Source organism: Homo sapiens, chromosome 2, assembly GCF_000001405.40.
Source record: "Homo sapiens chromosome 2, GRCh38.p14 Primary Assembly".
NCBI classification, from domain to species: Eukaryota; Metazoa; Chordata; class Mammalia; order Primates; family Hominidae; genus Homo; species Homo sapiens.
Genome location: NC_000002.12, coordinates 42,793,013 through 42,809,162, shown reverse-complemented (window position 1 = coordinate 42,809,162; position 16,150 = coordinate 42,793,013). Strand labels below are relative to the sequence as shown.

Below are 16,150 nucleotides of genomic sequence, written 5' to 3'. Positions count from 1 at the left end.
GGTCATTTGTGTAGTCACCTTGAGGGTGACTTGGCCACAGTAACAGATTGTGTTAGGGTGACAAATGTCAAGCAGTGGGATGGTCCTGGACTGTAGAAGGCCTTGAAACTCGAGCAGAAGAGTTAAAGTGATCAGGTAGACCATGAGGAGGTAGCAAAAGATTCTATGTAACGCAGGGGGCCTCCCGAAGGAGTTTTTAGGAAAGTCTCCTTAGAAAGAAGCCCGGGGAGGCTGTTTCCAGATGGTTTTGTAAGCTGAGAGACACATCTGGAGACTCAGGAACTCACAACAGGGATGGTCAACACCTCGCAAGATCCCACCCCGCACCAGGCAGGTGGTGGGATACAGGGCTCTTTACAGCATGCCAGGATTAGGGCTCCTTGGAGCACTTGTGGATGAGGCCAGGGTAAATCAAGGGCAACAGAGAGTGATCCGTTAAATAAGTTCTTCCCGGAAGCTGGAACAGGATGTAAAGGTAAATGCATGGTTTGTGCAGGGTGGGGATGATTTTTCCCCCCTAAATTGAAAGGGGTTAATTCCTGGTAACAAATAAATTGTGGACTCATGCACAGCGTCTTCTCAAATCCCGTAGCATTTGCAGAATCTGCCCTTCCTCTGGAGTCTCTCAGGCAGAGCCCACCTGGTGAACCACAAGCAGCAGAGTTGGCCCTCGGTGGTCCAGCGTCCCCTCCCACTAGCCCCATTCATGGATCTACTCCTTTATTGGTTCCACAGATACTGACTGATCCCCGACTGCATGTAAGGGGAAGTCAGCCCCTCATAAAGTGAACCTAAATTGCTTAGCCCCCAAGAATATTTGTTCTCTAATGAGCCTAGTGTGGGTAAGGCTGCACCTGGTGAAGGGGGCAGGGTCAGAAACTCCGCTGCTGGAGATCTTTTCCAGCAAGGAAAAGTCTCCTGGGACCTGAAAGGCACTTAACCTCACCCAGACTGCCGCTAAAGAACAATGAACTTAGGAGTCTTCGCTGTGGTCCTCTTAAGTTTGTAAGAGACTGTAATAAGTCTCTTACTCTCTCCGGGCCTCAGTTTCCTCATCTATAAATTGAAGAATCTAGACCAGATAAGAGGTCTCCAGCCTGGCTTGACTAGTGGAGGACCCCTTTTACCATGTATACTCTTGCCAACACCTTGGAAGTATTTTATCATGCAATAATTTGTGTATGATGTGTAATAGAGAAGGGATTGTTAAATAAAACTTATTTTAGATCCATGTATAACTTTAAAACAGTAATACCGGCTGGGCACTTTGGCTCACACCTGTAATCCCAGCACTTTGGGAGGCCAAGGCAGGTGAATCACTTGAGGCCAGGAGTTTGAGACCAGCCTGACCAACATGGCGAAACCTCCTGTGGGTTGCAGTGAGCTGAGATCACACTACTGCACTTCAGCCTGGGCGACAGAGAGAGACCCTGTCTCAGTAAATACATAAATACAGCAGTAATATCTATATTATTAAAAGACTAGTTTCAACCTTTTCACATTTTCCAAGTAATGCAAAATGTTTAATTATGTAAGGGGAAAGCATGCTTTGTTAACAAATATCTTTTAAAATAACATATATCTGGTATTGGGACAAATGTATATTAAAATGTATGAAACTTAATGACTCATTGTAGCATCAAAAATAGACAAAAACTGCTTTCCTAAATGAATGTTTGGAATTCATGCCTTTTGCATTTTTTTTAAAAAACTGGTTTATTTTTATTACTTTCATTTTTTGTGTCTAAATGATGAGATAAAACAGAAGGGTTCAGACTGCTGTATGCAAGTGACATTCTGCAAATAGCATGATGTGGGTATGGCTGGTCTTCATTTCTAATAATGAGAGGCCAAATCAGATCTAATGGTCACTATATTTTCTCTATGACTTTGGTTTCAGATATACAAGAGACACCGTGATGAGCCATATAAACAGTTTGATGGGCTGAATGCAATTTGTAGGTCTAGTGAATGAAAATCGTCTTGGTTCAAAATTGTAGAATTCTCATTTTATGGTCCTCATTTACTTTATTCCAGCAAATGTTTTATATTTTCTATTTTTAGCCAGCATTTCATTATGGGTATATATTAAGCAGCATATGACTTTTAAAAATATTGCTGTAGAGTAGGCAAAGCCCACATGAGAAGCCACCCAAGCAGCTGTCACATGAACGCATATCTGGTGTTCAAGGAATGAATGCTTCATGTACCGGTGAGCACGCATTCAGAGGCTTCCAAAGTGATTCCATTTTAATGGGTAGCGGGGGATCTTAAAGGATTATTTTAATTGTTATTTTTCCAAATGGAAATGTAAAAGATGCCACTGCCACGTGCAACACTGTGGACCTTCCTGAATGCCTTTCAGAACCCCCTCCATTTGTCAGTGTCTGAGGTCCCCTCCTGTCCTGATAGTCCATGATGCTCACCAGCATCCCCGGGGAAAATGACCCCTTATTTTCCCTTAGGAGGAGAAAGAGGTGTAGGTCTCAAGGCCCATGCTCTAGGGAGGTGTGCTGCAGATTTGAACCAATTACACAGAGAGTGGAACATATGATAATTTGAGGGATCCCATCAAATTGCCTGGATTGACACCGAAATGAAGAAGTGGTGAGAGCCTGTCAGATGAGAAAAATTTTAAAGATTGGTAATGTCCAGTGTTGATGAGAGTGTGGGGAAATGGATAGTCTTTAGTTGGTTTTGTTTTTAAGATAGTTTATCAGAATCTGTCAGTGTTTTAAATGCATGTATCTTTTGATCCAGCAGTTTCTATAAGATTCTCTCTTACAGATATACCCATACTTGTGGACAAATATACCATATTTCATCAAATCTAAAACACTCTAAATTGTAAAATGTGCTATTATTTTATGTACCATTAAGAAAACAAAACCTACCGTTTTAACTATGACACAGTCCTTTCATATCACTTAGAATTGCGTCTTATACTCATTAAGATCACTCCTAGCTGGGCGTGGTGAGTCACACCTGTAATTCCAGCACTTTGGGAGGCCGAGGTGGGCAGATCACGAGGTCAGGAGATCGAGACCATCCTGCCTAACATGGTGAAACCCCGTCTCTACTAAAAATACAAAAAATTAGCCAGGCGTGGTGGTGGGTGCCTATAATCCCAGCTACTTGGGAGGCTGAGGCAGGAGAATGGTGTGAACCCGGGAGGCGGAGGTTGCAGTGAGCCGAGATCACGCCACTGCACTCCAGCCTGGGCGACAGAGCGAGACTCCATCTCAAAAAAAAAAAAAAAAAAAAAAAAAAAAAAAAAAAAAAAAAAAAAACGATCCTATGGATGACTCGATGTATTTTTAATCATATGTTCCTCTGGAGAGCCATTGCTTTCTGCTCACCTTTTCAGCCTCATAGTTTCTGTCACTGACAAACACTTCAAGGAGGACAGCAGCTCAGGGTGCTGAGCCCCCCTGAATGCACTTCTCTTCTCCATGAAATTTTGGCCCCTTAGCCCTTAGGCTGCCTTGGTGGCTCATTGTTGCATTCAGACAGATTGGGGGTAGGGTGGGGTATTTACAGAATTTCTAGCTACTAGCAGTGGGAAGGTTAGTTTCATGGAAGCTGATGCATCTGTAGATAATGTGACCACATAATTTATCCTCCAAACAGGGACATTTCTGAGAGTCAAAAGGAGCACTGTTAATAATACTGGACCAACAAGCATGAATTGTGCCGTCCCGGACAATTTGGAACATATGGTCACCCTAATCCTAGCTCCCTTTTGTGTTACCATAAATATATAAACCATAATTAGGGAAAACTCCTTGTTAAACGTCTCTATAAGAACATGGATGGGGTGTGTACCAGTCCATTTCGTACTGCTCTACTCCAAATTCGCCCTTCTTGGCCCTGCTTTGTGATCTTGGAGCTGGACCCTGAAAGTATTTGTCTTGTCAGCTGGTGCCACTGTTAGGTCTTGTCAGTAGAAAGTGCTAGAAGAACACTAGAAGGGACTTCTCTTCCTAGCTCAGTGCTTTTCTTCTGGCTCCTACAGCACAGCTGCCAGTGGGCGGCTTCCCGGTGAGATTTTGCCAGCACCCGACAGAGTTTCCTGCTTGCCATCCTCAGCCTGCAGCACCTCAGCAAACTCCTCCACCATCCGCAGGCCCCGGAGCCACCCTCACCAGTGAACTCTGAATCTCAGCCTTGGAGGGGAGGGAGAGTTTGTTGCTTCCTTGGGTTCCCTATGTCAGCCCTAGAGGTAGTGGCTGCTCCCTTTGTTATTCCTGAATTATCTAGAGTTCCATTTACCCTTCTTCGTAATGAATCCTCCTTTACTAGTTAATAATTTTTTACATTAAATTTTCCCTATTCAAACTACTGGTGTGTCTGAATCCTGACTGATAGGATGCATTAATTATTTCTTTTCACTTGTTGGAGAACAACAGCCTTCAAAGAACATGGAGAACATGGTGGTTGGTGGGTAAAAATAATACACTTACATAGTACTTATCATGTGCTACGCACCAACTCCAAGAACTTGACACCCTATGAAGCAATTTCATCCTCACAGCAACCCCATGAAGCAAGTAGCATTCTCATTTCCTTTCACCAATGAGGAACGTGCAGCACAGTGAGGTCGTGCAGTTTACCAAAACAAGTGGTAAAGCTAAGATTCAAATACAGATTGTGCAACTGAAGATCCATGCCCTCAAACTGTATGGAGTAGATGGCTCATTTTGCAACTTGGAGAACAGTGAGCATGCCTGGCCTTGACAACTCTGTGCCTCTCAGGGTCACCCCCAAGAGAGGCTCTTGTCAGGCTCACAGAAGCCTGTGTATTGGTGGCCAAAGCATTCCAACTTGAAACATGGGAAAGAAAGACCAGTTAGAATTCTGACCCCTAGAGAGGTGAAAACCATGACCCAGGCATGCTGGGCGCCTCTGTGCCTAGATTCCCCTCTGCTGAGGAATGGGGAGGGTTCCTCTGTCAATCCTGGCAAGGGATGGACCCAAACCTATGGGACCAGATAGAGGTCTCGGAGGCCACAGCACAGATGATGACTTTCCTGTGAGAGGACAAAGGAAGAGTTTCAACAGAGCCCGCCAGGGAGCTCTAGGGTTTCAGTAACACTCAAGGTGTTCCTTAGGTCAAAATTTTTGGGTGAGTGGGAAAGCCCACCTTGTGGGGAAGAAGAAAGACAAGAAACTGGAGTAAAACAATCTACATCCATGTTTCTGCTCAACCAACTGGTTGAGTGACTTCAATAGTTGTCCATTGATCATATATACCACAGTTGGCTGAGCCATTCTCCTATTGATGGACATCCTAGGCTCTTTCCTATGTGGGGCTTTTACAAGCTTCTAGGAGCATATGTGTACAAGTATTTTTATTTTTATTTCTCTTGGATAAATACAGAAATGGAATTGCTGGGTTGTAAGGTATGTTTCTGTATAGTTTCTTTGTTTTTAGCATTTTTATTGTGGCAAATTACACATAACATAAAATTTACCATTTTAACTGTTTTTAAATTGTACAATCCAGTGGCATTTAGTACATTATGACGCCCGGCTAATTTTTTTATATCTCCTGACCTCAAGTGATTTGCCCGCTTCAGCCTCCTAAAGTGCTGGGATTACAGGCGTGAGCCACCACACCTGGCTATTTTTTTCTTTTTATAGTGGTAAAATATACAGAACATAAAATTTACCATTTTAACCCTTTTTAAGTGTGTGATTCAGTGGCATTAAATACATTTACGTTGTTGTACAACCATCTCCACTATTCATCTCCGCAACTTTTTTCTCATCTCAACTGAAACCCCATACCCATTAAACAATAACTCTCCATTACCTCCTCCCCCGAGCCCAGTAACCACTATTTTACCTTCTATCTCTACAAATTTGACTATTCTGAGTATTCATAAAAGTGGAATCATACAATATTTGTCCTTTGTGCATGGTTTGTTTCACTTAGCGTAATATTTTTAAGGCTTATTTATGTTGTAACATCTATCAAAACTTCATTTCTTCTTAAGGCTGAATAATATTTCATTATATGTGATACTACGTTTGGTTTATACATTCATCTGTCAATAGACGCTGGGTTGTTTTCATCTTTTAGTTATTGTGACTAATGTTACTACTAACATCGGTGTACAAATATCTGTTTGAGTCCCTGCTTTCAGTTCTCTTGGGTGTATCTCTAAAAGTGGAATTCCTGGAAGATACAGTTAATTCTATGTTCAATTTTTTTGATAAGCCACCATACAGTTTTCCACAGCAGCTGTGCCATTTTTACATTCTCACTAAAAATACACAAGAGTTCCACATCTTCACCAACACTTGCCATTTTATGTTTTGGTTTGTTGTGGTTGCTGTTGTTTTTATAATAGCCATCCTAATGAAATGAAGCACTATCTCACTGTAGTTTTGATTTGCGCATCCCTAATCATTAGTGATGTGAGCATCTTTTTATGGGTTTATCAGCCATTTATATATCTCCTTTGGAGGAATGTCTGTCAAGTCCTTTGCCTATTTTTTAAATTCTGTTGCTTGTTTTTTTTGTTGTTGAGTTTGGGGAGTTGTTTTATATTCTGGCTATTAACCCGTTATCAGATACATGGTTTGCAAATATTTTCTCCCATTTTGTAGCTTGCCTTTTCACTCTCTTGATAGTGTCCTTTGATGCACAAAAGTTTTTAATTTTGATAAAGGTCCTATGTTTGGTGGTTGTTTGGGGCTTTGTTTTTGAGACAGGGTCTATCTCTGTTGCCCAGATTGGAGTGCAATGATGCCATCATAGCCCACTGCAACCTCAGACTCCCGGGCTCATGCAATCCTCCTGCCTGAGCCTCCCCAGTAGATGGGACTATAGGCACACGCCACCACTGTCTGCGAACTTTTTTTTTTAAATTAGAAATGAGGTCTTGCCATGTTTCCCAGGCTTGTCGTGAACTACTGGCCTCAAGGGATTTTCCCACCTCAGCCTCCCAAAACACTGGGATTACGGACATGAGCCCCAGAACCCGACCCCTATGTTTAGTTTTATAAGAAACTATGGAACTCTTTTTTTTCAAATTAGTTGTGCCACCTTATACTCCCACCAGTAATGTTGAGAGTTCCAGTTGCTTGACATCCTCACCAATGCTTCATATTGTCAGTCTTTAATTTTAGCCATTCTACCGGGTGTGTAATAGTATCTCATTGTATATTTAATTTGCATGTTAATTTGCATTTATACAATGCAAATTAATTTGCATATATTTAATTTGAGCATGTCATTAATTGCTCAACTAATGATGTTAAGCAATATTTTGTGTGTGCTTATTGGTCATCTGTGTATCTTTATAAAATGGTTGCTCAAACCTTTTGCCCATTGTTTTGTTGTTTTTTGTTTGTCTTCTTTTTTGTTTTTGGGTTTTGGTCTTTTTTTTTAATTAAGTTGTAGGAGTGGCTAAATGCCTCGGGTAAGTCATTGATTTTCTGTTTCTTTATCTGTAGGTAGCAAGTATGAATTCCTCCATGACATCTGGGCTACAAGAAATGCCAAGCTTGGCCACTGCTCACAGTACCCGGGACTCATAAGAATCCATGCATGCCTTCTCCCATCTAAGACATGCGGGATCCATGCCAGGAAGAATGAGGCACATGCCAGAGGATATGGGGGCTGGGAGGAGGGCACTAACCCAGAGTGATTTGAAATGAGGTAGCATTCAATGGCCCCTGGCAAAAAAGAGAAAGAAGACGAGGGAGCTGAAAAATGTCTTCATGGAGAAAGGAGGGAGGGAAGACAGGGAGGGAGGGGTGGTCCAACTGGCCCTGGAGCAGGGGAAAATGGAAATGTAGCAGATATATAAGCTAAACTGAAATCTCAGCACAGAGCTGGCCTATGAATTTCTCCCAGAGGGACCTTCTGCCTGTGGGGTAAAAGGGAGCATAAACTTCCAGTTCTGTTTGCAGAGAGCCCTGAGGAACTGACACTGACCACAGCCAGATGAGAGGCCTTCTCCTCAGCTGCCAAATTCTGCTCTGCACTGCCCAACAGTGTCTTAGCTAGGGTAGCTGGCTCCATCCCAGGGCCAACAGCCAATTTCGATTACATTAAGGAGGCAGTGTATTGGGGGACCAACAAGTTTTATTGTTTGATACCCTGATCTTAGAACCTAACCCTCCCAGAGGTGCAAATCACAACCATAAACAAATGTATCGTAATAGAGAATTAAGCTTATAAAGATACATCAGTCAGGGGACAGAAACTATACCAATTATTTAACAGAGACAATGTAATACAGAGAACTGTTAACTAGGTTTATGGTTATTAACTAGATAACTGAAAAGTCAAAAAAACAAATCTGCAGTATCACTTAAGTTAGTAACTGCAAGAAGCAGCTACCCACTCGGGCTGAGAGAACAAAGGAAGAAGTTGAACCACTAAAGCTTAGAAGTTGGAGGAAGAGCCCTCTGCATAATTGAAACTCAGACTTCTGAGGAAAGGCTCCAGCATCTGCACTGGCATCTCTGCTGTGGTCACTTTAAAGCTGGTTCTGCAGGTATTGGGAAAACCACAGGGTGGGTTTGGAAACTGCTAAGGGAGCCAGGGCTTAGTGGCTCACGCCTGTAATCCCAACACTTTGAGAAGCCAAGGTGGGAAGATCGCTTGAGCCAAGGACTTTGAGAGCAGCTTGGGCAGCATATCGAGGACCTATCTCTACAAAAAATTTAAAAATGAATCCAGTGTGGTGATGCGCACCTGTAGTCCCAGCTGCTTGGGAGGCTGAGGCAGGAGGATCACTTGAGCTCAGGAGTTCAGGGTTGCAGTGAGCTGTCATCACACCACTGCACTCCAGCCTGGAGCAACAGAGTGAGACAGCTCCAGAGTGAGACCCCCGTCCCTACCACTACTACTGCTAATAATAATAATAGTGCCAAGCTTGTGAAACCGGGTCCAAATGGAAAGTGATAAGTACTCAACTATCTCCCTCAGTGGGTGTGAATAAGGACACTTCCAGCCTCATCCCTTGGCCACTCAAGGAACCAGCCTCGGGATGAAGCTAATGCTATGGGTAGCAGATGGGAGGGATGGAAAGAACCAGGGTCCATGATGGCGATGCTGAGTCACGGGCTCACTCTCCTCTGGGTATCCAGTTGTGTAAGCCTTCTGTCTTTCTGTTGATTACAGCATTGTTTAACTAAGGCCTCTGCTACTTTGCAGCCACAAGCATCTTGATAGATTAGGAAAGCAAAAAAGAGGATAAAAAAGAAACCAGGAAAAGGGATGTGTGGTAGATGAAATAATCCTTCTTGGTTCTTTTCAAAAATCTCCTGTCCTGATCCCCGGAATCTGAGTATGTCACCTTACAAAACAAAAGGGGATGTTGCAGATGTGATTAAGTAGTTCGATGAAGAGATTATCCTGGATTATCTGGGTAGGCCCAATGTAATCACAAGGATTAGTTACAGAGGAAATGTGACAACAAAAAAAGAGAATGAAATGATGTGTTTTAATGAAGAAGGAAGGCACCCTGTGAGCCAAGGAATGCAGGTGGCTTCTAGAAGGTGGAAAAGGCAAGAGAACAGATTTTCTTCTAGAGTTCTCAGAAATAATGCAGCTCTGACAATACCTTGATTTAGCCTATAAGACCCATTCAGACTTCTGACCTTCAAAACTATAAGACAATACATTTGTGTTGTTTTAAGGCACTAAGTTTGTGATTTTTTTCAATTTATTTTATTTTATTTTTTCGTAAAGACAGCATCTGGCTATATAGCCCAGGCTGGTCTCAAATTCCAGGCCTCAAGCCATCCTTCCTCCCTGGCCTCCCGAAGTGCTGGGATTATAGGTTTGAGCCACCATGCTGGGCCTGTGGTAATTTATTATAGCAGCTATAGGAAACTCACACAACATGGTAGTTACAAAACCAAAAGAAGATGCTACGAATAAGTACAAATGTAGCAATAATTAAATAGATATGAAAGAGTTGAATCCAATGACTACTAAACACGTAACTAACAGATTGGATTTTTTTTAAACTCCAGGTAGGTGCCCTTCATGAAAGATATATCTAAAACAAAATGATGCAGGGAAACCATATACCTGTTGTCTCAGTTATCTACTGCAGTATAACAAACCACCCTCAAAACTTAATGACTTAGTGCCGGGCACGTGGCTCATGCCTATAATCCCAGCACTTTGGGAGGCCGAGGCGGGTGGATCTCTTGAGGTCAGGCGTTCGAGACCAGCCTGGCCAACATGGTGACATCCTGTCTCTACTAAAAATACAAAGTTAGCCGGGCATGGTGTCACGCGCCTGTAATCCCAGTTACTTGGGAGGCTGAGGCAGTAGAATCATTTGAACCCGGGAGGTGGTGGTTGCAGTGAGCCAAGATTGTGCCACTGCACTTCAGCCTGGGCGACAGAGTGAGACTGTCTCAAAAAACAAAACCAAACCAAACCTTAATGACTTAGGAAGGTGGCTTTAGTGGCCGCATGAAGCACACCCTGATTGCCGAGGAACAAGAGTGCAAAGCTAAGAAACTGAGGCATTTTGAAGAGTTTGAAGACACTTGGCTTCCTTATCTGACCCCCAAAGATGAATTCTATCAGCCGTGGCAGCTGAAATATCCTAAATTAATTCTCCAAGAAGCCAGCAGTGTATCTGGGGAGCTCCATAAAGAGGCTCAAGAGGCCGGGCGCAGTGGCTCACGCCTGTAATCCCAGCACTTTGGGAGGCCGAGGCAGGAGGATCACGAGGTCAGGAGATCGAGACCATCCTGGCTAACACGGTGAAACCACATCTCTACTAAAAATATTTTTAAAAATTAGCCGGGCGTAGTGGTGGATGCCTGTAGTCCCAGCTACTCGGGAGGCTGAGGCAGGAGAATGGCGTGAACCTGGGAGGCAGAGCTTGCAGTGAGCTAAGATCGAGCCACTGCACTCTAGCCTGGGAGACAAAGTGAGACTCCGTCTCAAAAAAAAAAAAAAAAAAAAAAAGAGGCTCAAGAAGCTTTTCTCACACTGCACAAGCATGGCTGCTTATTTTGAGCCCTGGTTAGGATCCAAGGCAAAGATTTGCTCACTTCAGTATCTCCCATCCTCATTGGTAATCCAGGTTGCACCTACAAGTCCCTGAACACTAGGTTCTTTATGGTACCATGGCCAGTGAAAGGGTCTAATATAAAATACACCGAGGGTCAGGTGCAGTGACTCACGCCCTGTAATCCAGCAATTTGGGAGGCCGAGGTGGGCAGATCACTTGAGGCCAGGAGTTCCAGACCAGCCTGGCCAAAATGGTGAAACCCTGTCTCCACTAAAAAAAATACAAAAATTAGCATGATGGCATGGACGGACCTGCAATCCCAGCTACTCGGGAGGCTGAGGCAGGAGGATCGCTCAAACCCAGGAGGCAGAGGCTGCAGTGAGCCAAGATCGTGCCACTGCACTCCAGCCTGGGAAACAGAGTGAGACTCTGTCTCAAAAAATAAAATAAAATACACCAAGGCTGAAATAGCTGCTGCTTGTCAGACCTTCCTCAAGGTCAATGACTACCTGCAGATAGAAATAATCTAGGCTTTGGAAGAACTTGCTGCCAAAGAGAAAGCTAATGAGGATGCTGTGCCAGTGTGTTTGGCTGCAGATTTCCCCAGTGCTGGCATGGGGTCATCCGGTGATGGACAAGAAGATGAACTGGACATAAAGAGTAGAGCAGCATACAACGTAACTTTGCTGAATTCATGGATCCTCCGAAAATCCCACACCTGAAAGAGAAACCTTATTTTGGCATGCGGAAAATGGCAGTGCGCTGGCATCATGCTGAAAATCTGGTGGACAGGCCCCAAAGAGGAAAGTGAGGACGACTCTCATCTTGAAGGCAGAGATCTTGATACTTGGCATGTTGGTGTTAAGATCTCATGGGATGTAAAGACACCTGGTTTGGCAACACCCCAAGGAGACTGCTATTTCATGCTTGGTAATCTTTGGAGAACCAAAATTATATTGCTACTCTAGCATCTAAATTTAGATTATTGGGTATATATTTTGAATATGTCTTATAAAGTAAACTTCTGGAGCATTTGATATTAATAGTGAAACTTCTTTACAAGAACATGTAACTAGGTTTTTCTTTTTTGAGATACTACTAAATTTTAAAAAGTTGCTTTTCTTTTTATTCTAAGTAGTTGTGGAGTTCCTCAAATATGCTAAACAATTTTCAGAATTATTCATGAAAGCTATTAAAGCATCCAAGTCAACTTATTAGTATAACTTGAAAAAATGCTTCCCTGTCTATATGCGTTTTTAGTAGTGAGAGAGTTTTGTCTAGTTTTGAATTTAGTTCTTCTCAGGAACAGCTGACCTGACAATGGGGCCTTTCTCTCAACTTGTCATTTAGTTCTTTCGGAAGAAATATCTCAGCTGTGGTTAGGCTAACTTAAGCTGTAGAGTTTGTGGGGCTTTTTTTTTTTTTCTTCCTGCTGTAAGTTTTTATTTTGTTTTTGGACTTTCTACTTGTTTTCCAATACGCAATGTGCAAACAGTATCCTTTTTTACTCAAAGCTTCTCGGGGCTTATTCTTTACTTGGCTCTAGTTCCTGATTCTTGGGGGTTTACCTCACTCTTGTCTACCTGGAGAAATCTACTCATATGTTAGTTTTGGAGCCCGGAAGAACCAGGGCTGACACTCAGTGTTTATAATAAGAGTTAATTCCCAATTTGGTATTTGTAGAGAGTCCACTGTGTTCCAAGTACTGTGTAAGGTTCCGGAGGAGATATCGGAGGTGGATAAATATTGGTCCTTGCCTTTGGGGAATTCAGAGTACCGAATAGCTCTTTAGGCCATTCTCTCATTAAGTATTTTCCAAATTTCAGCTCTTTGCACATCAGCTTCAAGGTTTTCGTCATATCCATGTACTACTTGTATAATTATTTACATACTATTTCTGCCTAGATAAACTAACCTTTTTTATCTTAGAAAAAACTGAATGGCTTAAAGTAACAAGTAAGACAGCTGGGCAAGTCTCTGCATGTCTCCCCTGGGTTCACTCATGCAGCTACAGTCATCTCAGATGGTCTTACACAGCTGGTGCAGGCTGTTGGCCAGCCTCACCCTCCACATTGTCTCTCATCCTCCAGGACACTAACCCAGGCTTCTACACATGGTGGGAGCAGCGTTCCAGGTGATGAGATCAGCAGCTGGGAGACCTGGTGAGGACTAGACTCAGATGTCCCATAGCATTAGTTCTGCTGCCTTCTGTATTCACAAGTCACAATGCCAAACATGATTCAACGAATAAGGAAATGGACTTCACCTCTTATTAGAACAGAGGCAAAGTCACAAGGCGTATGGATTCAGGAAGGGAAGGAGTTATTGTGTCATCTTTTTGATCAACTTACCATATCTGGAAAACACTAGCACAAAGTGGGTGTAGGAATATTAATATCAAAGTTGAAGTCAAGGTGAAAAGAAACTAAGAGGAAATATTTCTTAGAGATAAAAGAAACACTACAAGAAGAAGATAAAATAGTCATGAGCATGTTTTCGTCTAATGACATACATTCAGAATATGTAAAGCAAAAGCTGTTAAAGAATAAGGAGAGGCTGGGCACACTGGCTCGCAGCTGTAATCCCAGCACTTTGTGATTACAGCACTTTGTGAGCCCAGGAGTTCAAGACCAGCCTGGACAACATGGGGAAACCCCATCTCTACAAAAAAAATACAAAAAGCCAGGCGTGGTGGTGTGAGCCTGTAGTCCCAGCTACAGTGAGGACAGGCAGGAGGATCACATGAGCCCGGAGAGATTGAGGCTAAGATCGCACCACTGCACTCCAGCCTAGGCACAGAGTGAGAACCGGTCTCAAAAAAAAAAAAAAAAAAAAAAAGGAAAAATTGACCCCAAAAATCACAGTGTTAGATTTTAACATATCTCTCTTGGAAAATAAAATATTAAGCACTTTAAAAAATAAAGATCAAGACTATTTGACTAACACAATAGCATGACCTAATAGAAATATTCTGAACTACGTTCTAAGCAGAGTATACACATTCACAAAAATTGACCATAAGCTAAACTGCAAAGGAAATCTTAACACATCTCCCCACCCAAAAATAATACAACACGGACCATCTTCTCTCACCACAATGCAATACAATTAGAAATGAAAAACAAAACGATAGCCAAACAAAAAACAAACCAGTGTATGTCTAGAAACTTTTAAACAGACTTGTAAATAACTCAAGTTAAAGGGGTAGCAGGACCAGAACCTAGACTTCCAAATAACCAGTGTAGTTCATGATCTAGTCCTTTTGTTCATATAAAGCTATTTGTTTTAAAATAGTTGCTGAATTACATGAAAGGGTGAGAAAGTGGGAGAGACAGAAAGGCAGAGACAAAACAAGGTGGGCTGGGAAAGGGATTCACTGGAGCAACGAGTTCAGTGTATGGAAGAATTGAAGGGTCAGATAGTTATTACCAGCCAGGTTCAGCAAAGCCTAGAAGGATCTGCTGGTCTCAGTGACCTGGGCAGGCAAACACCACCCAGCGGAGGCCAGGGGAAGACACCAGCAAGCAGGCCAGATCCTTTGAGCTTGGATCGTGGGGTAGATTCTATTTGCTTCTAATCCTTTAGTGCAGATGAGCTCCTGTGTGCAGAGGAGAGAGGTGGCTCCTAGAAGCGGGTAAATTCCAGAAACTACAAGGGGCCCAACAGTCAGTATCCAGAAGGATTCCAGATGGTTCCAACTCAACAATGCCAGAATACTCACAACATAGCAACTGTCCGTTTTCTGAACATTGGAGTCCAGTGGTGCCTGAGCCAGGAGGCTTGCCAATTCAGTAGACCAGACGTGGTATTTGCTCTACACAGCACAAATCAGAGGGCATATTTGATAGTGATAACATAGCAGTCATTTAGCTTGTGTAGAGGGTTACTCGGGATATTTCAGACCCCCAAAATTCTACTTGTGGCCTTAATTATTCACATTATTTGATCACATCAGTTAAAATACAGAGTACCTATCATTCTTTCCTTTGCACTATGGTAACGGAACATCTGTTGGGCTGAAATCAATTTTTTCTCCTTTTTGTGTGAATTCATTGATGCCTTCATCCACCCACTCACCCATCCCTCCATTTAACTAACACTCAAAGCAAACTTAACACATCTCAGATCCTCAGTGCTTCATGTGTCATTGTTTACGTCTCCTCTGATTACTTGTAGATGAGAAAAATAAAGAAGGTGGTGTGAGTTACTTGGGTGCAAAACGATATTCTAGTTTTGCACTAGAAGTGCTCAGCTAAAACTGTGCTAGATAAATAACTAAAAAAAAGGAGAGAGAAAAATGAAAAAAAAAAAAAGAGCGTCAGAGAGGAAACGGGAGGGTCTCAGTGGGGAATTCGGCTTCCTGTCGTCTGGGTTTTGATTTTGAGTTGTACTAGAGGAGTCTTTATGTCTGGAATGCTGAGAAAACCAGCCCAGGCCAGGCGGGCTGTGAGGGCAGGATTTAGAGGCGTTTAGTTTCTTAAACTCTATAGTCTGGATTCCGGTGTCAGGGGCCTGAGCCATTTTCCTCCTCCCCTACCCGTCAGCTCCCACTCCCTCCAAACTTCCTAAGAAAGTTCTGAGTCCTGCAGAAAGACAGGCTTCTCCATCTTCCACACCCGCGCAGATTTCTCTTTCCTCACACATGCACGCCCAGGCCCAGCGCCCCAGCCCCTCACCCCCAGGATAACTGTTAGAGTCTCTCACACGGGGCTGTCATCATTAACACCCCGAGATTCCCGAGGGCTAGGACACTGAGGCCGGTGTCCACATCTGCCAAATTCCTCCCATAGCTGCGTGCGAACTGAGTATGTTCCTAAGACGCCTAAGGAGTTCAGCACGGGGCTCGGGGTCCACTGCGACACTGCGCGGACAGCGGCCGCTCGGCTGGGCCTCAGGTGGGGAGGGCTCGCGGTCCTGCCCTGAGCCCGGGCTCCGCAGCTCGGCGCCTGCACCGCTCCCCTCGCCGAGCCCGCGGCGGAGTCTGCCGGCCGCACGCAGCAGGTCTGGGGCTCACCTTGAATCGGGACCTGCGGGGACCGCCGTGCGGCTTCCCGCTGGGTGAGCGCCGCAGCCCTGAGTGGCGGGGCAGTCATTCCCCTTTTCCAGATGGGAAAGCCAAATCTTGAGCCCAGCGCCAGCACCGTGTTCTC

General features: G+C 43.6%; 1 pseudogene, besides 4 other annotated features; it reads left to right on the top strand.

Moving 5' to 3' along the window:
- Positions 10,430 to 11,937, top strand: FTOP1 (FTO pseudogene 1; annotated as a pseudogene).
- Positions 12,702 to 13,071: an enhancer, noted in NCBI's record as "active region_15653". NCBI's record gives its function as "activates an Ori minimal core promoter by ATAC-STARR-seq in GM12878 lymphoblastoid cells {active_cell/tissue: GM12878}" and the evidence as "EXISTENCE:reporter gene assay evidence [ECO:0000049][PMID:35858748]".
- Positions 13,586 to 13,635: an enhancer, noted in NCBI's record as "active region_15652". NCBI's record gives its function as "activates an Ori minimal core promoter by ATAC-STARR-seq in GM12878 lymphoblastoid cells {active_cell/tissue: GM12878}" and the evidence as "EXISTENCE:reporter gene assay evidence [ECO:0000049][PMID:35858748]".
- Positions 15,844 to 15,933: a silencer, noted in NCBI's record as "silent region_11413". NCBI's record gives its function as "represses an Ori minimal core promoter by ATAC-STARR-seq in GM12878 lymphoblastoid cells {active_cell/tissue: GM12878}" and the evidence as "EXISTENCE:reporter gene assay evidence [ECO:0000049][PMID:35858748]".
- Positions 16,014 to 16,113: a silencer, noted in NCBI's record as "silent region_11412". NCBI's record gives its function as "represses an Ori minimal core promoter by ATAC-STARR-seq in GM12878 lymphoblastoid cells {active_cell/tissue: GM12878}" and the evidence as "EXISTENCE:reporter gene assay evidence [ECO:0000049][PMID:35858748]".